Source organism: Homo sapiens, chromosome 4, assembly GCF_000001405.40.
Source record: "Homo sapiens chromosome 4, GRCh38.p14 Primary Assembly".
Taxonomy (NCBI): Eukaryota; Metazoa; Chordata; class Mammalia; order Primates; family Hominidae; genus Homo; species Homo sapiens.
In genome coordinates, this window is record NC_000004.12 from 48,836,580 (window position 1) to 48,860,225 (window position 23,646).

A 23,646-nucleotide genomic window follows, 5' to 3' on the forward strand; every position below is an offset into this window, starting at 1 on the left:
AACTGATAATAGTTTCTGCCCTGTGATTAATACTTAGGATTGATAGAATAAAGGATAAAGTTTGGATAGTACCCATGGATAAGGGAACAAGTGATAGTGAAAGAATCAACAAAGACCAAGAGCAGTTAGGAAGATAGAGGAGCTCTGATAGAATCTTTGTCATTTTATCCACCAATATTCAGAGACTTGCAGGTATTTCAAGCTAGAAAGAACCTGAATAAGAATTAGGTGATGATGTCCATTTTAAATTTATGATGACTATGCATCTAAAACAGTTATTCTCAACTGGGAGCAGAATAACTGGAACGAGTTGAGAATAATTGTTATAGATGCATAGTCATCATAAAGTAAGGGCTTCTATAAAATTTTCATGGCTCATTAGAATGGGAATAATTTCTTTCTTTTTTTTTGAGACGGAGTCTCGCTCTATCCCCCAGGCTGGAGTACGGTGGTGCAATCTTGGCTCACTGCAAGCTCCGCCTCCTGGGTTCATACCATTCTCCTGCCTCAGCCTCCCGAGTAGCTGGGATTACAGGCGCCTGCCACCATACCTGGCTATTTTTTTTTGTATTTTTACTAGAGATGGGGTTTCACCGTGTTAACCAGGATGGTCTCCATCTCCTGACCTTGTGATCCACCTGCCTCGGCCTCCCAAAGTGCTGGGATTACAGACGTAAGCCATCGTTTTTTTTTTTTTGTTTTTTTTTCTTTTTTCGGTGTTCTTTTTTTTGTGACTGGGTTTCACTCTTGTTGCCCAGGCTGGAATGCAATGGCACAGTCTTGGCTCACTGCAACCCCTGCCTCCTGGGTTCAAGCAATTCTCCTGCCTCAGCTTCCCAAGTAGCTGGGCTTATAGGCGCCTGCCACCATGCTCAGCTAATTTTTGTATTTTTGGTAGAGAAGGAGTTTCACCATGTTGGCCAGGCTGGTCTCGAGCTCCTGACCTTGTGATCTGCCCACCTCGGCCTCACAAAGTTCTGGGATTACAAGCATGAGCCACTGTGCCTGGCCAGAATGGGAAGAATTTCTTAGAGAACTTGGCTGTATACTCCAGCAACAGTTCTTTTTTTTTTTTTTTTTTTTAAATCTTTGAAGATTATATAGAGTAGATAGGATAAAATGATCTATTTTTAAGTCTTGATGACACAGGATTAAGAAAAAGGCAAGTGTGATAGAGGGGATTTGGGATTATTGTAGTGTTGGGCTAACGGTTAAATAGATGCTAAGGTGTCCAGATTTATTTCTGGCTGATAAATGTATGCTGCTGCAGGTGTTTAACAATCTAAATAGCTGTGACAGGTTTATGCCAAAAGTACATTAAAGGGTAGTGAACAATGTCAGGATGCCCGTGTATACCAGACTCTTAATAGTGGGACATGTGGTATATGAACAGTACAAAGCTAAGTGATTTCTGTGCATTAAAACAGATAAATCACAGGTTGAAAAGACAAAAAGCGGCTGGGCTTGGTGGCTCACACCTGTAATCCCAGCACTTTGGGAGGCTGAGGCAGGCAGATCACCTGAGGTCAGGAGTTCGAGACCAGCCTGACCTATATGGTGAAACCCCGTCTCTACTAAGAATACAAAAATTAGCTGAGCATGGTGGCAGGTGCCTGTAATTCCAGCTACTCGAGAGGCTGAGACAGGAGAATCGCTTGAACCCGGGAGGCAGAGGTTGCAGCAAGCCAAGATCGTGCCACTGCACTCCAGCCTGGGCGACAGAGCGAGACTCCATCTCAAAAAAAAAAAAAAAGACAAAAAGCATGTGATAAGGACAGGCTGAAAGACAGCTTGTTAATTTTATACCATATCTACATTACTGAGAAATTACAGCAGCCAAAAAATTACTGTATTAATAGGTAGCATTTCACTCTCAAAACAGATAACCAAGGTGTTGTTGCATATTATAGCATCAAACATTGAAATGTAGAAGCTTGGTTGTAACCAGGTGATAGGAAGTTCAACGTATAATTATCAGAAGGATGATAATCATACATAGGAAATTTTGTACTTTAACATTTGTACTTTCGAATTAGATAGTCTATGCTGTATGTGACATTTATGTAAACAAATAATGGCATCTGTTACTTTGGAGAGTATCACCTTGGATTAGAAAAAGGTGATAAAAGCATTTACGAATTTATAAAAAAGCACTTACTAAGGTAATTTTTTATACATTTTTTAGGTCTGTTAAAATACTTATCCTCTTCTAAAATTAGACTTGTTGATCTAGGGACCATTCTCTTTCCTTAAGATAACTATGTTTCTATACTGACCTACATTCCATTAATCTGAAATATAACTATGAAGGCATCTTATTTCTAGGTGCTTAAAATCGTGACCCTATGCACTGACCTAAAATCACTATGTCTGTGCCCAAACACACAGGTAGTGAAGACCCTGTGCATATAGGGTCAGTTTATTGCATATTCATGTTAAAATAGTTCTCAAACTCCAGAATTACTAAAAAGATGTATCAGTTCATATTTGTATCAGCTGGAGTCTATGAATAATATTTCATATATGTGTACTACTAGTTTTCAAATGATACAGTATAAGAGTGATAAGAGTATGGGCCAGGCATGGTGGCTCACACCTGTAATCCCAGCATTTTGAGAGGCCGAGGTGGGTGGATCACTTGAGGTCAAGAGTTCAAGACCAGCCTGGCTAACATGGTGAAACCCTGTCTCTACTAAAAATACAAAAATTAGCCAGGTGTGGTGGCACATGCCTGTAGTCCCAGCTTCTTGGGAGGCTGAGGCAGGAGAATGGCTTGAACTCGGGAGGCAGAGGTTGCATTGAGTCAGGATTGTGACATTGCACTCCAGCCTGGGTGACAAAGCGAGACTTCATCTCAAAAAAAAAAAAAAAAGAGTATGGACTCTGAGGCCTGATTGGCTGGATTCAAATCCCAGCTCCACACACAGTAGCTGTGAGATTTTGGACAAGTTCCTGAGGTCTGTGCTATACTTTTCTTATCTATAAAATGGGGATAACTGCCTAGCTCATGAAATTATTATAGGGATTAATGCAATTTAATTAAGTGTTGGCTATCTTTATTAAATAGCTATTAGTGTTATTATGATTAATGAAATAAAAATTTTTATTGACTACAGTTAGGAATATAGAGTAGCTTTTTGTTACTGTGAGGGGAGAAGAGTTCAAATAATTGTAGGGATTCTTGTATATATTGAATATAGTTTGGGACTGTGGTAATAATGTGCACTAGGTTTTGGTCAGCAGTATTACTGATTTGCCTATAGAGACAGATTATTTAACAAAATAGATATTACATACTGTAGTGGAAAAGGCCACTGACTAGGGAGTCAGGAGACTTGGGTTCTGATCTCAGCATTACCACAAACTAACCAGCTGTGTTGCTTTGAGCAAATGACTTGTCTTTTCTGGATATTAGTGTACTCAGATTGGAATGAGGACTAGATAATCTCTGAAGCCTCTTTCAGTCTTACCATTGTCTTTTTCTGTGACATAAAGTAGAATACCTGAGTTGGAATGAGACCTTAGGTCTAATCCATTATTCCTTTATAGCATGAGAAGAAGCTATGCAAAGACATTGTGGTGAATGGCAGAACTAGTACTAGAATCTCCTCGAACAGACTATTACTCTGCATTAAATGGGGAAAGCATTATCCATTGTAGAAATGGCCAGCTAACTCATTGCCTTTTATTCTTATATGATTCTTCAGTGCTTCATGTTGCAATCCTTGAGTCAAGCTGGAGAAAAATGATTGCAAATTGTACTGGTGCTGTAATTAAAAGGGATTTGTCCTTTGCAAAACCTTAAATGATAAATGATAATGCATGAAGGCATTCTAACTAGCCAACATTAAAGAAACCATATTTCCAGCAAAGGTAAAATCTGTTAGTAAGTAGGATAGCATGAATTCAGACCTTAGCGTTTGTGCAATTTGTGTGTGATGGCAAAGTTAATGCCCTATTCCAAAGTGATGGATTTTAATCATGAAATCTGTAATAATTCAAATGTCTTAATTACTTTGGTTCTTAAATTGTCCATATATGGTTTAGACCAGAGTTGAACAAACTAGCCCATGGACCAAATCTGTTTTTGTATGCATGAGCTAAGAATTGTTTTTACATTTTTAAATGGTTAAGAGGCTGGGTGCAGTGGCTCACGCCTGTAATCCCAGCACTTTGGGAGGCTGAGGTGGGCTGATTACTTGAACCAAGGAGATCGAGACCAGCCTGGGCAACTTGGCGAAACCTCATCTCTACAAAAAAAAAAAAAAAAAAGAAAAAAGACAAAAAATTAGCCAGGCATGGCGGTGCATGCCTGTAGTCCCAACCACTTGGGAGGCTGAAGCAGGAGGATCATCTGAGCCGGCAGGTTGAGGCTGCAGTGAGATGAGATTGTACCACTGCATTCCAGCCTTGGTGATAGAGTGAGACTTTGTCTAAAAACATAAAATAAGATAAAATGGTTAAGAAATCAAAGGAAAAGAATATTTCATTACGTGTGAAATTACATGAAATTCATATGTTTGCATCTAAAAATAAAGTTTTGTTGGAACACAGCTACGTTCATGTGTTTTTGGATTGTCTTTCGGTGCTTTTGCTTTAAAACGGCAATTGAGTAACTGGGACAGAGATTGGCCCACAAAACCCAAAATATTTACCATCTGGCTCTTCATAGAACGTGTTTGCCAACCTCAGGTCTGGAACAGCACTGTCCAGTGTGGCAGCCAGTAGTCACATGTAGCAATTTAACTTTAAAATAACTTGCAGTGAAAGGATATAAAGCAAAATCATAAAAGGAAAGGGAGCATGGGGTGAAGTCCGGCGGAAACCAGGTCCCAAGAGTTCTCTTCCCAGGGAGTGTAAATTTCTCCAACAGCTAGTCATAACAATGTGTGAAGTTGTATCTACCCGGGGAACTCATTAGAGACTCAGTGCCCACAGTTTTTATTGGGGGCTGGTCACTTATTCACCCTCTGCCTAACAGGTACCAAAATTCCAGACTCCTAGAATGAAAGCAGATGTTTGGCATGAACTGTATTTGTACAAACAGTTTGGGCACAGTGAGCCAATTACGCATATCAATGGGGGGAACTGTTTACCAGTCAAGTACCAAGACCAAATTGATCACAGGGTTGGTCACTCAAAGACCAACTTCCATTATCATAAAAAATTCTGTTAGACAGTGCTGGTGTAAAGAACAGTGATTCATAGCTGTTTTTAAGTTATAGCCCCCTTTGAGATTATGAGTTTTGGATTTTTCACTCTCGGTTTTAGGCATATATATATATAGATGTAATATTTTCATATAGTTTAAGGAGTTCACTAGTTTAGAAGAAAGAACATAAGTGTTTAAAATATGTGCTTTTTAATTTTTGCCCCAGCCACCGTATGATTACGGTCAAATATGTTTTGTATTTTGGTTTAGATGGTATACTAGAGCTTAAAAGCTTGAGATCTGGTATCAGACAGATTTTATTAGAATCTGTAACCAACCATTCAACTAGTTGTTTGGCCTTGAGCAAATTACTTAACATCTCTAAGCTTCAGTTTCCTTATCTTTAAAAGGGTGGTAATAACATTATCTACCTTATAGAAATATGATAAAAAGTATAATAAATGAGATAATGCACATAAGGCGCTTAGCATGATGCACAGAATTTAGTCATTACTCAGTAGTGGTTCTTACTTGTAACTTGTTTCTTACCTCTCCTTCATTAACTTTTTCCCCTTCTCTTACTTCAGAAGTAATTTTGAGTCACTTTTACTGTGTTGTCTTAGTTGATGCTGTTGATGAACAGCTGGCTATTTGGAACCTAAGCCTAGATGGTTCATGAATTATATTGTTTAATATTTTGTGATGTTTTCTTAAATTTAAAATGCTCCTTTAATTTTTCCACTATGTATACAGTACAGCTTTTAAAAATGGAACAGTCTTTTTTAAAGGTCTTAGTTATGCAATATAATTCCTAGATGGTTTTACTGCTATTCATTTATCTAATGAACTTTAGACAAAATCTTTTACTTTTGTTGATGTTAACAAGGTCTTTTTCTTCCTATAGCTGTGCCTTTGGCTGCAACAAGTATGTTGATTACTCAAGGATTAATTAGTAAAGGTAAATATTTAAAATTTGAATTTATTTAGCATTTTGGATACCATGTTTGTTTTGTGGTATTTTCCAGGTCTTTAGAAAAAGTAAAGATAACAATGTATCATATTAAACACTATGTAGAAATTCATTGATGAATTTAAACGTTTTATCTCTGTGGACCCACTGGCTCAAATATCATGACTTGAGAATTTCTCCTGCACTAATAGCATCATTAACAATCTGCAAGAGCAAGAAGGTAACTAAACACCAGTATTAGCAGGGCAAACCTGGTCTAGGTGGGCCAATAGCAACATTATTGCCTAGGAGCTTGTTAGAATGCACATTCATGGGGACCAGGAGTCTGTGTTTTAACAAATTCGAAGTGATTCTTATATAATGATTTAAAGATCAGTAGCTCTCTAAACCAGCTTTGTCTGATCACCTGGGGCGGATGAGTGGCGGTGAGTTAGCATTATTTAAAAAATCAGAATCTCAGGGGTCTGGCAGGTGATCTATTTTTAACGAGCCACCGAGGAGACTTTCTTGTCCTAAAGTCTATTGGCTCAAATAGTACAGTAGTGGAATTGAGTTTAGATTGAGTATTAAATGTCTTGAGTCCTGCATTTAAAATGTAGTGGAGTAAGCAGTAGAGTTGCTTAATTCCTTTACTTCATGAACTATCTATCTGGTAATGGGAAGGTGTCCCAGAAAAGGATGGTGACCTTAGGATGGCCTGGAGGCCTATTGTTTTAATTAACTGGCTCCTTCAAAAATGTGACTTAATGATTGGAAGATTTAGCCTTTTCACATTAGGATATGATGTATGGTACTTAGTTTTGACACAATTAGTTGATAAAAGTAGTTTTGGAGGCAAATGAGAGGATTTTTGGGGTAAAAATTTATTTAAGGAACTTCTGAAGAACTTCATTACAATACAGTACCATGACAAAAATCTTAAACATAGAAGCGAGTCAAGATGTATGCACTTATATGTCCTTAAGACTAAGCTGTTTTATAGACTGAGATTGGTTCTGTATTGTGAAACAACAACAACAACAACAACAAAACAAAAAAAACCCCACTTGAATTACATTCTTTGTAGGAAAAACTGGCACAGGGATGAAATTACAGTGTTTATTATTGTTCTGCTTCTTTTATCTATTTTAATCCAGTGTGTCATTTAATAATGATTGGAGCTAGGTATGCAGAAGGTTACACAAAAGAATTTAATAGCTGCTAGTAGTTCACTGGAGGAAACAAATGGATGTGAACATATGTTGAAGCAAATAGAAAATTTAATTACATACTTAATAAGCTACTAAATTGTATAGTAGAGACTCTAAGAGTTGTAGGTGTTCAAAGAAGAAAGATCTTTGTAGGGCTGTTGTAATCAAGGAAAGTTTCTTGAAAGAAGTGGGTTTTGAAGGATGGGCAGGATTTAGATTAAATGAGAAGAAAGAACATACCAGGAAGGAGGGACCTGATGATGAAGACAAATAGGCATAACTATTGGGAGAGGCAATCAGGACTGAACTGAAGAGACAAAATCATGCAGGGAGGAGTGAAAAATCCATTAAATAGCTGAAGTAGAGCCAGGAGAAATTATAATTTGGATTAGGTTATGAAGAGGAGGAAGTTTTTTAGAGATTTTGGGTTTAGGTGCAGTTGAAGACTTTGGGCTACTTGAGGGTACGGTAGAAGTGATATTGGGAGGCCGAGTCGGGTGCATCACAAGGTTAGGAAATCGAGACCGTCCTGGCCAACATGATAAAACCCCATCTCTACTAAAAATACAAAAAAATTAGCCGGGCGTGGTCGTGCGTGCCTGTAGTCCCAGCTACTCAGGAGACTGAGGCAGGAGAATCGCTTGAACCCAGGTGGCGGAGGCTGCAGTGAGCTGAGATGGCGCCACTGCACTCTAGCCTGGGCAACAGAGCGAGACTCTGTCTCAAAAAAAAGGTAAAAATTGAGAGAGACTTTAAGAAAAGAATTTGGAATCCACCAAGACATTTTGCATTTAATCAAAATCCCTGACATTTTGTACAGTGGTCCTTTTGTGTCTGTGTGGATTGGTTCCAGGACCCTCCAGAGGATACCAAAATCCACAAAAGCTTAAGTCTCTGATATAAAACGGCCTAGTAAAGTTTACGTGCATATCTGCCTGTATACTGTAAATCATCTCTAGATTACTTATAATACCTAAGACTATGTAAACACTATGTAAATAGTTGTTATACTGTATTGTTTAGGGAATAATGACAAGAAACAAGTCTGTACATGTTTAGTATAGATGCAGTTTTTTTTTTCCTAAATATTTTCTATCCGCAGTTGGTTGCAGAACATGTACATATGGAGGGCTGCCTGTATCCCCTTTCATCCACAGTGTGTCATACTCCACGTGGTCTTAGATGTTCCTTCTGTTTCTTCCTGATCTGCCAAAACCATTTAAACATGCTCAGGTCTCCTCTAACTTGAGAACATTAAAAAGAAAAAAAAATCCTCCCTCATTTGTTTTTCCAGCTACTCCCAACTGCCTCATATTTGAAGCCAGAGGCAGACTTCATGAATGAGCCCTTCACTTTTTACTTCGTTTAACCCATTGCAGTCAGTGTGAGACTATCCATATGTTCTACCATTTATTGGAACTTTTCAAAAGTTCAAAAACAAACTTTTCAAAAACAACCTGTTTGTTGCTTAAATATAATGGACAGTTTTTGTTCTTGACCAACGTTACATAACTTTAACCAGTTTTTCTTGAAATAGTCTATTCTCTTGGCTTCCATGATGGCATATTCCTAAGATTTTTCTCCTACCTCAGGCGATTCCTCTGTTTCATGTTTTTTGAGTGTCTGATATGTACTATACATTGTTATATAGCACTAAACAACAAAAATTCATTAACTCTTGGTGCTTACATTCTTGTATGGGTTTTTTTGTCTAGTTGTTTGGGAAATGTTGGTGTTACTATATTTTGGATATAATATATAATATGTATGGCCCTTCTATAGGCTCCTCAAACAGAACTCAACCATTTTCCACAAAACCAATTCCTCCTTTCCCTTCATGACTGAGTGGTGTTAGTACTATCCAGGAAACTGGGACATTATCCTTCACATCTATCCCTTATCTGCCTTGTCCAATTAATGTCTTTTAGCTCTTAAATGTCTTTATTAACTATCTACCTCCATCTGTACTGCCAGCATAATTAATGCAACCATATGTCACAAAGAGTATTGCGTTAACCTTCAACAAATCTGTTTGTTTCCATTCTTGCTACTTCTCCTTAGGAAAATAAGCTATTTCTAGCACCTGACAGAGGACATACATAGTGCACATAGTACTCAAATATTTGAGGGGATGAATAGCAACCATGACACTATTATCTTTGTCTTAACTCTCTCTCTAGACTGTAAATTCCATGAGAGTAAAGAGTGTGTCCTGTTTCCTGTTAATATCCAGTATGTAGTACCTTTATGTTGTAAGTGGTCTATAACTAGTTGGTGACAGTATGAAGGAACAACTTTTTAATGTAAAAATAGAGATGTTCTTACCATCTTCCTTTTTCTATTGTCATCCCAGTTCTTATAAATGAAGGAACTGAGGCTAAAGGCACAGATTAGTTGTCTGTTTTTGTACTTTAATTACATGAAATCATACACTGAAATATTCTTTTATGTAAGTTCTTTCAACATGGTGAGATTCATCCAGTAGCATGCTGGAACTGGTTTGTACTGGCTCCTGAGAATTGGTTGTTAAATTTTCGGGAACTTTGGCAAGCTGGTTTTTAAAGTGTTGGTAGTTGGCCGGGTACGGTGGCTCATGCCGGTAATCCCAGCACTTTGGGAGGCTGAGGCAGGCGGATCATGAGGTCAGGTGATTGAGACCATCCTGGCCAATATGGTGAAACCCTGTCTCTACTAAAAATACAAAAAATTAACTGGGCATGGTGGTGTGCACCTGTAGTCCCAGCTACTTGGGAGGCTGAGGCAGGAGAATTGCTTGAACCCAGGAGGCGAAGGTTGCAGTGAGCTGAGATGGCGCCACTGCACTCCAGCCTGGGGACAGAGCGAGACTCGTCTCAAAAAAAAAAAAAAAAGAATTGGTAGCTTTACACCATGGAAACTGACAAACATTAAAATTAGAGCTTTTTATAGGGAGTGCTGGTTTACCAGCACATCATTGCACTTAACCACATTGTTGCATGTAGTTGCCCTATAGTTTTCCTCTGTGTGAATACACCAGTTTATCTATCTGAACTGTGCATTGATAATTGGTAGTTTTCAATTTTCACTGTTACAATTAGTTTTGCCAAGAATATGGTGCCTTTTTGATAGACATTTTGCTGGGTCATAGATTTTGTATATATTTATTTAGCTTTAGTAGATATTACCAAACTATTTAGACCAATGTATACTCCTACATTCTCACCAACACTAGCTATTTTTATGTCTTTTATGTTTTAGCCATTGTGGTAAATAAACACTAATATTGATTGCATTGTGGCTTGAATTTGTATTTCCCTGTAACCAATGAAGTTGAAGACCTTTCCATTTGTTTATACTTCATTTCAGCATATCTTTTTCTGTGAAGTATCTGTTTAAGTCTGTTAACCATTTTTCCATTGTATTGTCTTTTTTCCTATTGGTTTTGTGAGACTTCTCTGTATACTTTGGAATTGAGTCTTTTGTCAGATATAGATATGGTGATTATTTTTTCCCCACTCTGTTTAACTGTAGTTTTCAGTGTTAATAGAGTCCAATTTATCAGGTTTCTTCTTTCTAATAGGTGCTTTTTGTTGACTCTTTAAGATCTTCGTCTACTCTAAGGACACAAAGATGGTCTCATGCTTTCTTCTGTAAAATTTTTTAAAAAAATCTTTCATATTTAAATTTTTAAGCCATCTGGATTATTGTTCGATGTAGGATCAAGGTACATTTTCCCCTGTTAATGGATATTAATTGACCCAGCACTATATTTGAAAGGACTATGCTGCAGTGTTGTCTTTGTCATAAATCAAGTGTGCAGGTGTGGATCTGTTTCTGGACTCTTAGTTTTGGTCAGTTTGCCTATTCTTGTACTTAATACCAGACTGTCTTAATTACTACAGCTTTATCATGTAGATTTTGCTATCTGGTGGTAGTCAGTTCTATAATACGATTCTTCAGTGTTGCCTTGGCCCTTTGTGTTCCACATGACTCTTAGAATAAGCTTTTCAATTTTTGTAAAACTTTGATTTTAATTGGGATTGCATTGTATTTATAGGTGAAGTTATGGAGAATTGCCATCTTTAGAATATTGGGTCTTTCAATTCTCAGTAAGTTTTATAACTTGTCAGTGTAGAGATCTTTCATATCTTTCATTAGATTTGTTCCTGGGTTTTGAGCGTTTTTTTTTTTGGTGCTATAATTAATTCTGTCTTCTAAAAAATGTTTGTTTTTTTGTTTGTTGTTGGTATAAACAGTTTTTCATACACACACACATATATATTTGGTCTATTGACCTTACATCAAGTGATCTTTCTAAATTTACCTGTTCTAATACTTTGTAGAGTCTTTTGGATTTTCGTCATATTTCTCTTGATACTGAATTCATTTGGTTTTCCCTATTAAACAGTCTAGGGTTCTGTAGGATCATGGAAGGAGCTAATGTTGTAAGATTATATTTAAAGATAGCCTTTACTGATTTTTCTTTCTGTAACAGTGTTACTCAGAAATACTTAACTCTTTTCTTTAGGAATACTTTCAAGTCATCCCAAATATGGTTCCATCCCTAAACTTATACGTAAGTATGAACAACATTGTAGTTTTCATAGCTTTTTAAAACTTAAATAAAATTATTTTTATCAAATGTTTTATCATGTCTTACTCATATTAGTTATGTGGTTACATGCTCTGATAAATCAGTTTGTTAAAGCATTTCATTAAGTGGATTACTTGGATATTTTATTGTTAGCATAAAAAATCATCAGTTGAAATAGGCATTTTTTTGTGTCTTTATAATGTAATAGAACAATTAATTTAAAATTATTTTGTAAGGATAAAGTATTTGAAAATAAATTTTTGGTCTGTCTATGGGGAAACAAAGTTATGAAGATATTCTGATTAATCAAAATAAAGTATATTTAAAATTAAGCTTAATTTTTAAAAGAAATCTCTCTAATTTGTATTTTAAAATGTAAATAAGCATAACTTATTTACACATTGCAATATAGTTAATAGAAAAAGAAGCTACATTGCCCATCAATGATAGACTGGATTAAGAAAATGTGGCACATATACACCATGGAATACTATGCAGCCATAAAAAAGGATGAGTTCATGTCCTCTGTAGGGACATGGATGAAGCTGGGAACCATTATTATCAGCAAACTATCACAAGGACAGAAAACCAAACACCGCATGTTCTCACTCATAGGTGGGAATCGAACAATGAGAACACGTGGACACAGGAAGGGGAACATCACACACCGGGGCCTGTTGTGGGGTGACGGGAGTGGGGAGGGATAGAATTAGGAGATATACCTAATGTAAACGACGAGTTAATGGGTGCAGCACACCAACGTGGCACATGTATACATATGTAACAAACCTGCACATTATGCACATGTACCCTAGAACTTAAAGTATAATAAAAAATAAGTAAATAAATAAATAAATAAAAGAAAAAGAAGCTACATTGCTCTTCAAAAGAAGTACCTGAGGCTTTTCATGAGTCTTTCAGGTTAGCCTTTCTTTTCTATTTGAAACTCATGTGATGCAGTAAGTGCCACGTTTAGGTTATGGTTCGTAATTTATTACTTTAAGGGATTTGTTGCACCTAATTTTACTTTAAAACAATCTTGTGAAAATGGCTGTGCATATGATATTCTGTTTTATAGGAAAATAATGGCCTAAATCCTTGTGATCTAGTTCTGTTTATTTAGAACTAGAAATAAATAAATGTTTTGATGCTTTTATTCCTTATCCATTCCTCTTCCCATTATACCTTTACTAAATCTTTCCTGTATATATTATAAAGTAATTAGTATACTATAATTGATTTATTTATAGCAGCTTTATTTTGGCACACTTTTTTTGGAAACTGAATTATATCCATAGACTCTGTATATGAACTCTGATCTGATTTAATTTTGATTTCTTCTACCATTATTTCAGGAAATCTCAGTCTTTCTAAACCAAAGACTTATTTAGAATCACACTTTAAAACAAATTTTTCTTTTAGAAAATACTTTTGTCTGAAAGGCACATTCAGTTACACTTTTTGTTTGATTTTACAAATAAGTTGCTTGTATCATGGGATACTTTGCTGGAAAACTTTCTTATGTGAAAACTTGCCAAGAGAAATTCAAGAAACTTGAAAATTCCCCCCTTGGAGAAGCTTTACGATCAGGACAAGCACGACGATCTTCACCACCTGGGTAGGCCAGATTCTGATCTTTACTTAAGATTTTTAATTTTTAAGAAACAACTAGATGTTGCTATAACTCATGGCTCAAAAACATTGCCTGAAGGACCACTGGATACTTGCCATTTGCTGTAGGCTAAAAGTAATTTGCTTCAAAAATTGGAGCAAGACTTGCCACCATTTATTTATTTATGAATGAATGAATGAATGATGGGATCTCCCTCTGTTGCGCAGGCTGGAGTACAATGGCATGATCCTAGCTCACTGCAGCCTCAAACTCCTGGGTTCACAAGGCCCCACTGCCTCAAGCTCTCTGAGTAGCTAGGAATACAGGTGTCAGCCACTGCACCCAGCTAATTAAAAAAAAATTTTTTTTATGGAGATGGGGGTCTCACTATGTTGCCCAGGCTGGTGTTGAACTAGTGGGCTCAATCAGTCCTCCTGCTTTGGCTTCCCAAATTGTTGAGATTACAGGTGTGAACCACTGTGCCTGGTTCTTCATTTTTGTTTTGTTTTGTTTTGAGACAGAGTTTCACTCTGGCTCCCAGGCTAGGAGTACAGTGGCGTGATCTCGGCTCACTGCAACCTCTGCCTCCTGGGCTCAAGTGATCCTCCTCCCTCAGCCTCTGGAGTAGCTGAGACCACAGGCATACACCACCACGCCTAGCTAATTTTTTGTATTTTTTGAAGAGACAGGGTTTTACTGTGTTTACCAGGCTGGTCTCAAACTCCTGAGCTCAAGTGATCTGCCCCACTTGGCCTCCCAAAGTGCTGGGATTACAGGCGTGAGCCACTGCATCTGGCCTTCATTGTTGTAAATATAGAGTTGTGTCCTATTGGGAGTACATGTTCTAGAATAAAGGATTTTATCTCGATTCAATTTGGCAAACACCTTTGGTTACTATAGTTTGGACTTTTCTTTTGAATTCCCAAATCTTATCAATCCCATCTCTTAACAGATTTCAGCTTTTCATTTTAATGCTTCTTAAACAGATAGGCAAGCAATATAATCCCCATGAGAGAGAATTTGTATCTGCTTTAGCAAATTAGTGTTTATATAGATTCTTAGCTGTGATATTACCTTCTCAATTGACATGGGAAACGGGCATGGTTATTGAAATTAGACCTGATTTAAAGTGCTTTTTCTTTCCAAGAACTTTCAAACATACTAAAATTATCTTGAAAGGCTGGGTATACATTTCCTATTTTTCTATACTGACAGTGACTGCTTTTAAGATGTATAAGTGGGTCAGGACTTTTTAAAAGTGTTTTGTTGGCAGAAAGAAACAGACCTCATTTTACTGATTATAAATAACTGCGTTAAAAATTATTTTGAGGCCAGACGCGGTGGCTCATGCCAGTAATCCCAGCACTTTGGGAAGCTGAGGCAGGAGGGTTGCTTGAGCCCAGTAGTTTGAGACCAGCCAGGGCAATATAGTGAGACCTCATCTCTACAAAAAACCAAGTGGTGGCGCATGCCTGTAGTCCCAGCTACTTGGGAAGCTGAGGGGTAGGAGGATTGCTTGAGCCTAGGAGGTGGAGATTGCAATAAGCCAAGACTGCGTCACTGCACTATAGCCTGGGTGACAGAGCAAGACCCTGTCTCAAAAAAATAAAAAAAATTATATGTATATATAATTTTGGAAATAAGCTATATGAAAGAAGTTATTTTAACACTTCTTTAAGATATAGGCAATGACTCATATTTCTTACTACAATATGATTTTCATTTACAGGCACTATTATCAAAAGTCAAAATATGACTCAAGTGTGAGTGGTCAATCATCTTTTGTGACATCCCCAGCAGCAGACAACATAGAAATGCTTCCTCATTATGAGCCAATTCCATTCAGTTCTTCTATGAATGAATCTGCTCCCACTGGTATTACTGATCATATTGTCCAAGGTAGAAACTTCTCTTGAAATGAATTTCAACATTTTATGGTCCAACGTATGTATAAACTTTATTTGATGACCTTTTCTGCTGGATATCACCTGTGTGTTCTACCATCAATCATCAACCTAAACTCAGCATGTTTGTTCATTTGTTTCTTCATTCATTCAACTTTTCTTGAGGACCAGTAGGTGTCAAGGACTCTGCTAGACGTGGAAGAAGATGAATAACACTTGGTTCTTGTCCCTGAAAAACTTTCAGTCTGTTAGAAGATATAGAAATACAAGGATGAATTACTAGTATGTCCCAGTAATTGAAAATACTAAGGCAAGCTTAGTGGAATAGTGAAGAAGAAATGATAAATCGTGTCTCAGGAAGTAGAGCTCCAGGAAAGGTATAAAAAGGTTACATTTGATAGGCTGGGTTTTAAAGGCTTTCAGCTTCCCTGTCTGTAATACAAGAAAGAACTGTTGTCAAGTGAGAAAATCCATGTGAAAATGCTTTGTGAAGTTTGTAAATACTAGCTTTGAAGATCACACATGTAAGTGCAACAACATCAATTTTGTATTAAGGCTTGGATTTGAATCATGATTGACATTTGCTAGCTATGTGACCTTGTAATACTACTACTACATTATAATAATGTAGTAATATTATTATAACTACTTTATGATCCTTTCAGTTTCTTGATCAGTTGAATGGAGATGATACTACCTCTCTTAATGAACTGTTGGAATTAGAGGAAATAATCAGAGGCAATGTCTGGCAAATAATAGACTCAAAAAACATTAGTTTCTTTCCTTCAGTCTAGTCGGCAGTAAAAGATGAGGAATTAGAAACGGGAAATACAGGTCTGTAATTCTTTATCTAAAATCCTGAAATTCAAAAAGGTTTAAGCCAAGTTTTTTTTTGTTTTTTGTTTTTTTTTTTTTTTTTGAGATGGAGTCTTGCTCTGTCGCCCAGTCTGGACTGTAGTGGTGCGATCTCGGCTCACTGCAACCTCCGCCCCCCCAGCTTCACGCCATTCTGCCTCAGTCTCCTGAGTAGCTGGGACTGCAGGTGCCCGCCACCACGCTCGGCTAATTTTTTGTATTTTTAGTAGAGATGGGGTTTCACTGTGTTGGCCAGGATGGTCTTGATCTCCTGACCTCGTGATCCGCCCGCCTCGGCCTCCCAAAGTGCTGGGATTACAGGTGTGAGCCACTGCCCCCGGCCTGTTTTTGTTTTTTAATAATTAAACTGGTAATAAAATCTGACCTGAATTCATTTAGCAGAATACCCTGACCTAAATTCACATAAGTTATATAAACGTAGACTTTATTTACTTTGCCAGATAAGATTTTTCCTTTATTTCATTATAGAAATATTAATGTGTTTGCTTACTCATTCCTGTCCTAAACCTCTGAATGGATGGATATTAAGTAATATAAGGGGTATTTACTGTAGTATTTTTCTAAAACCTCAGAAACTTTGAATAGTGAAACATACCTGACCCCAAGGTTTGGATAAGGGATTATGGACCTTTGTAGAGTATACTCTTTAAATTTTAAAAGATTAGAGGGAAAGAAGTTAAAGGGAGGGGAGGGTATACAGTGGAAAGGGAGAAGTTGATTATAGGTCAGAGAAGGTTCTAGAGAATGCAGAAGGGGGTTCTAGGTAGGTCAGAGTAGCCGCTAGCCATATGTGGCTATTTAAATTAATTAAAGTTAAATGAAATTTAAAATTCAATTTCTCAATTGCTTTGGTAGCATTTCACTTGCTCAATAGTCACATGTGCTAGTGGCTACCGTGTTAGTGCCAATATAGAACATTTTCATCATTGCAGAAAGTTATGTTGGACAGCACTACTTAAGAGCAAAAGTCGGGGCAAAGGGGTGAGTATTAGCCTTGTATAAAGGAAGAGACAGGAAAGAATGGAAGTTCAGATGATTAAAGAATTTGGATGAAAGTTATTGAGAGCTTCTTAATCCTCAACTCTGATTTTTTTATTTTTTTCTTTAATGGTTGGAAGCAAAGGCATCAAATTAGTCAGAAAAGGAAGGAAGGGAATGGGCAGATTAGGAGAGAATGGCTAAAGTCACTATCTTATCTCCAAAGGCAGCTGTCCTTGTTCCTCACTATGTCTCATTTAACCAGTCTGAAGTTCAAATCCATTCTTCTTGTACAGTAGTCCCCCCTTATCCATGGGGGATAAGTTCGAAGACCCCTGTGGATGCCTGAAACCTCAGATATTACCAAATCCTTTATGTTCTATGTTTTTTTGATCTAGATGGCTACTAAGTTACTAACAGGCATGTAGTGTAGACAGTGTGGATATGCTGGACAAAGGGATGATTCAAGTCCTGGATGGACCAGAGCAGAACCTCACAAGATTTTATCACACTACTCAGAACAGGGTGTAATTTAAAATTTATGAACTGTTTATTTCTGGAATGTTCCATGTAATATTTTCAGACCATGGTTGACTGCAGGTAACTGAAACCCTGGAAAGCGAAACCACAGATAAGGGGGCACTACTGTATTCTAGACATGCACTAACTCTTTCCTTGTGATGACTTGCATCTTCCCCACCATTTGCATTAGGAAATTCTGTTATATAGTTTTTTTCCATACAAAAGCCAACAAACAAAAAGCCCTTTGGTATCTACCCACAGACTACTTAGCAAGGCCATGTCTTAATATTATTTTATGCCTTCCACAGCAGCCATCCATCCATCCACTGCTCTGCCTTCTGACCCCCTTCTCTAAATCAAAGTGGCTACTTTTTTACTGCTCTCCACATGGGCCAGCAGTGGCCTGCTTTTGCTTTGCCCCAGATGCTATCCTCCCCTACCAGGGCATCTTATTCTTTGGTTTAAGTCCTACTTTAGTTCTGCTTTCTTTTACCAGGAATTCAGAGAGTTATTAATCTTTTAAAATAGCAAGCACTCCTTCAGAGCTGTTAGGAGACTTAGAGTTTATTACAGTTAGATTTAAATCAGTGCCACTTTACATTTTTTTATTCCTTCCAGTTCTTTATAACCTTCCCAAAATAGTAAATCATGTTCTCTCCATAGTGTGGGAAATTCTCCCCAGTCTTCTTCTGTCTGATGTATATTTTCATTATTTGTTCCAGAATTTTATAATGGTAAAATATTTTTTATAAGAAAAAGTATTAGACCTGGAAGGAACTTCAGAGATCATCTGCTCAAACTACCATATTTCGCAATTGAGAAAACCAGGATTCAAAGAAGCTTAGTGATTTGCCCAAGGACATTTCCTAATTGTCAGCAGAGTGGGGTTAAGAACCCAAGGTTCCTGAAGTACACACGATTTCCTTCAGAATTTTTAATATAACATATATGGTGAAGGGAAATGAGTTCAGTAATTACTTATTACTAATGAAATGCAAAGTGTTTTAATCCCAATATAAGGTTATAATATTTTTCTTTACATTCTTTTTTTAGTAAGAAAAATGTAGTTTTGAACCATCATATAATACTAGAACTAATTAGGAGAAATTTAAATCCTCTTTGCTTTATATAAGTATAGTATATATTTATTTAGCAGAATAAATGTTTATGGTTGAAAATGGCTGGGTGCAGTGGCTCATGCCTGTAATCCCAGCACTTTGGGAGGCCGAGGCGGGTGGATCACCTGAGGTCAGAGTTCAAGACCAGCCTGACCAATATGGCGAAACCCTGTCTCTACTAAAAATGCAAAATTAGCTGGGCATAGTGGCACATGCCTATAATCCCAGCTACTTGGGAGGCTCAGGCAGGACAATCACTGGAACCTGGCAGGGGGAGGTTTCAGTGAGTCGAGATTGTGCCCCTGTGCTCCAGCCTGGGTAACAGAGTGAGACTCTGTCTCAAAAAAAAAAAAAAAAGTTTATGGTTGAAAACATTATTTAATGTATAGTTATGTTGCTTAGAAAATTCTGATTATTCACTGGGATCCTACCTTTGAGTTCTAAATAAGTATCACAAAAATTATTTTTTAAAAAGTTAATATTAAAAGTATATGCCCAATTTGTATGTCTTATTGAAAACATCTTTGAAAAACAGTACTTTTGGTGTGGTATGTGGTAGGTAAGACTTTGTAAGTTAAGTAGTTGTTCACTGAATGTTAGCATCTTTTTTTTTTAATGTTCATATGGCCTTTTTTGCTGTTTATAAATTGTATAAACTATGTTCACTATTTGATCCTGTCAACCAATATTAGGAGTAACCACTGCATTATATTTACATTTGACTCTATGATAATATGTAATATTCACATTTTGACTCTCTTTGGGAGAAATAAAGAATAAATGTTAGTTCCCAGGCCAAAATAACAGTTGATACTTTCTTCTGCATCAACATTGCATCTGTTAGACTGGAATGAAAACAACACATATTCTGATTAAAGGCTATGTTTTATACTTTTCAAGTAATTATTTTCAACTTTTTTTCCTTTTTTTTTGAGACAGAGTTTTGCTCTTGTTGCCCAGGCTGGAGTGCAATGGCGCGATCTCAGCTCACTGCAACCTCCGCCTCCTGGGTTCAAGCGATTCTGCCTCAGCCTCCTTAGTAGTTAGGATTACAGGTGTGTGCCACCACGCCCAACTAATTTTGTGTTTTTAGTAGAGATGAGGTTTCTTGTTGGCCAGGCTGGTCTTGAACTCCTGACCTCAGGTGATCCGCCCGCCTCGGCCTTCCAAAGTGCTGGGATTATAGTTGTGAGCCATTGTGCCTGGCCTATTTTCAGTATTTTTGTTTAAATTTTGTAAAAAGGTAAAATAAATGATTTTTGAAAATAGCTGGAGTTGTTTTCATAGAGTCTGTGGTTATAGGACTATTTAACTATATATTGAGTAAAATCTATGCTATGTCAAGTTTTATTCAGTTGTCCCTAGTAGAATATATTTCTCTTTTAATTCTGTATACAGTATGAGTAACTCCAGTTTAAAACACTGGTATTTTAATGAGTTTAAATTGTACTGTTATATATTATGATACATATTTTTCTTCTGGCTGTGGTTTAGTTTTTAAAATTTTTGATGTCCATTTTAATTTTTAGAAATAAAAGCTTAAAAATATGGGTGGAAGTAGATTTCAGTTTGATGATTATCTTGGTGAAAGTATAGTACCTGTGAAATGGTGGTAATAATTTGATTCTTTATTCTATTTTGATTGTAGCTCCTTTTGTAAGGAGCATTTGTAAAATTTAGTTGCTTTAGAGTTATACAAATCCTTTTATTACCATTTATTAACTGTTTGTTGTTTTAGGACCTGATCCCAACCTTGAAGAAAGTCCTAAAAGAAAAAATATTACATATGAGGAATTAAGGAATAAGAACAGAGAGTCATATGAAGTATCTTTAACACAAAAGACTGACCCCTCAGTCAGGCCTATGCATGAAAGAGTGCCAAAAAAAGAAGGTATGATAGTTTAGTCTGAATCACTTTACTGTTGAGGATTGGAAACTAAAACATTACTTTAAAACAATACTATAAAAAATTAATTAATATGTGATTTAACTCTTCAAGCAATTAACCAAAGTAAAATATTTTTAAAATAGTACTTTACAGTTATCAGTTCTTTTTTTTTTTTTGAGACGGAGTCTTGCTCCGTCGCCAGGCTGGAGTGCAGTGGCACGATCTTGGCTCACTGCAGCCTCTGCCTCCTGGATTCAAGCAATCCTCCTGCCTCAGCCTCCCAAATAGCTAGGACTACAGGCCCCCACGCCCAGCTAATTTTTTGTATTTTTAGTAGAGATGGGGTTTCATCATGTTGGCCAGGATGGTCTCGATCTTTTGACCTTGTGATCCGCCTGCCTCAGTCTCTGAGAGTGCTAGGATTACAGGCTTGAGCCACCGTGTCCGGCCAGTTTTCCATTTTTAAGGTGTTCCAAAGGCCATTTTGTGTTAGAAAATAATGAAGTCAAGGCCAGGTGTGGTGTCTCATGCCTGAAATCCCAGCACTTTGGGAGACCAAGCTGGGTGTATCACTTGAGGCCAGGAATTGGAGACCAGCATGGCCAACATGGCGATACCTTGTCTCTACTAAAAATACAAAAATCAGCTGGGCATGGTGGTGCATGCCTGTAATCCTAGCTACTCGGGAGGCTGAGGCAGGAGAACTGCATGAACCCAGGAGGCAGAGGTTGCAGTGAACCGACATCACGCCACTGCACTGCAGCCTGGATGACGGAGCGAGGCTCTGTTCCCCCCTCCCCCCGCCAAAAAAAGGAAGAAAATAGTGAAGTCCAAATAGTAAGTCTTAAGACAGCAAGATTAGTTTAACACAGGGTAGAGACATACTCATTTGACTGTTTCTCTCTTACAACAAATCTCCTTGGAGATCTGATAGTCTTATTTTCCTAATGATACATCTATCGCATAAGTTGCTGTAGTGACCTGAGGTTGGCGTTGCGCTGTAATACCACTTGTGGCCTAACCACAGAATGATTGAGTAATGAGATTGATTTTCTTGTACATTTGGGTTTTTCTCGTGTTTTTTTGTTCTGTTTGTTTGTTTTTTCTTTTTGAGATGGTTTTATTCTGTCACCCAGGCTGGAGTGCAGTGGTGTAATCATGGCTTACTGCAGTCTTGACCTCCTGGGTTCAAGCAGTCCTCCTACCTCAGCTTCCTGAGTAGCTGGGACTACAGTTGTATGCCACCATCCCTGGCTGTTAAAAATTTTTTTTGGTGCAGTGGGTTTTTCCCTATGTTGCCAAGGCTGGTCTCAAACTCCTGGGCTCAACCAGTCCTTTCACCTTGGCCTCCCAGAATGCTGGGATTATAGGTGGGAGCCACTGTGCCTGACCTTTCTTGTACATTTGTGAATTTGAAAGAGTTATATGCCAGCTTCTAAGGCATTTCTTAAAGATGAATTTTTAAATCCTGGTTTCTTTTAAGTCTTTTTGGAATAGCTATACATTAGCCAAAGTAAATTTTTTGATACAAGTTTACCTCTAAAGGAAGAGGACATTCGAATAGGGTTTTATAGCTATTTCAGTATAGGGTTTTATGATTTTCTCTTAAGGAATTTCAGAGTATGTGTCATTGTTTCAAGATTTTCTATTTACTACTTTAAAAATGGAAATAATAGGTCTTTGGTACCTTCTTGAAGGTCATATGCCACAAAGAATGCAAAAATACATGAAAGTCCTTAGTATTTGTTGTTATGGTCATTTTTTAGAGCTAATTTTATTTTTAATCATTAGCGGTTGCTTCGTTTGGAGTTCTGTTTTTATAACAATGATAGATAATATCTGCATCATATTATTGATGTAAAAAAAATCTACCTTTGAAATGAATTAGGGATGTACCATACTTTTGAATGTTTGTCATCAAACAACATTTAGCATAAACTGCATCTAGTGGCCATTGCTCTGTAATATGTAAAGACTTGTCGGTACTTTGTCCTGCTAATTAATTTGAGGATTTAGATTGTAAGCTCTGTGAGGGCAGAAAGTAATATTTTTCTCATTTTTGTAATCTTTTCTATTATTGTCTGCATAGCATAGTACTTTACACTGTATCAGAAATTGAGTATTTTGGTTTAGGCTTCTATGGTAATAGAGGTTAAGAAAGGAAATTTGGTAGACCTTTAACATTTGCTGGATTTTGACATTTTTGATTTTTGACTGAAGTCTTCAAGTTCTGTTACATGACACAAGAATGTGAAATGATTTTTTCTTTTTTTGGGAAAAGCTGGTTTTTTGTGTGCTTTATATAATTTAAAGAAAAGACTTGTTATGAAATAGTTTCAGTCATTTTCTGAATTATTGTTGAAATTAGTACAGGGTAGATTCACATGGTCAGAAAGTGTCACTTAAAGTTTTCACCTTTAGCTTATGTGGTTGATATTTATCTAATTAGAAATTAAGACCCAGAAATTTAAAAAATTCAAGCACATATTCCATTAGCTGCCAGAGCAATGTCACCACACATCCTGTAGCTTCTAGAAAACCATGTAACATATACTCATGAGGGAATGAGAGCAAGGGGAAAAGGCAAAATGTGAAACATAAGGATATATAATGTCTTAGTATAATAATGAAATAATTTTGACTTCATGTATTCCCTGAAGAGTCCACACTGTGATAACTGCTGCTTTATATTGTTATGATTACTCACAGACAGAAGCTATGTGGAAGAGAAGCAAAAAAGTAAAGGAGTAGAATAGACAGCGGAGCATGTTTTAAAATGTAAAATATAGAGTACCTGTAAAATGTAGTAGTATTTTCTTCTTATAGTAGTATTTACAGCCCTGAGAGAGAAGATTGAATTAAT

The 23,646-nt window shown here is 37.0% G+C and overlaps 1 protein-coding gene and 1 long non-coding RNA gene across 15 annotated transcripts in view; one reads left to right on the forward strand and one right to left on the reverse strand.

Annotated features, from left to right (window-relative positions):
- Positions 1-23,646, forward strand: part of OCIAD1 (OCIA domain containing 1) — a 56,660-nt gene that overhangs the window by 31,424 nt on the left and 1,590 nt on the right. For 8 of the 14 annotated variants that reach the window (XM_047415862.1, XM_024454108.2, NM_001168254.2 and 5 more), the window contains 5 exons: positions 6,057-6,110; positions 11,820-11,867; positions 13,368-13,503; positions 15,227-15,396; positions 20,634-20,786. In XM_047415862.1, coding sequence (XP_047271818.1) covers positions 6,057-6,110; positions 11,820-11,867; positions 13,368-13,503; positions 15,227-15,396; positions 20,634-20,786 — 561 coding nt within the window. Of the gene's footprint in view, positions 1-6,056; positions 6,111-11,819; positions 11,868-13,367; positions 13,504-15,226; positions 15,442-20,633; positions 20,787-23,646 lie in introns of all 14 variants that reach the window. The other 6 variants (XM_024454112.2, NM_001079842.3, NM_001079840.3 and 3 more) reach the window with 2 other exon arrangements.
- Positions 15,428-23,624, reverse strand: OCIAD1-AS1 (OCIAD1 antisense RNA 1). Its single transcript, NR_146806.1, has 2 exons — positions 23,578-23,624; positions 15,428-15,646 (listed from the first exon to the last, which is right to left on the reverse strand). It is a non-coding gene; the product is annotated as an OCIAD1 antisense RNA 1 (long non-coding RNA).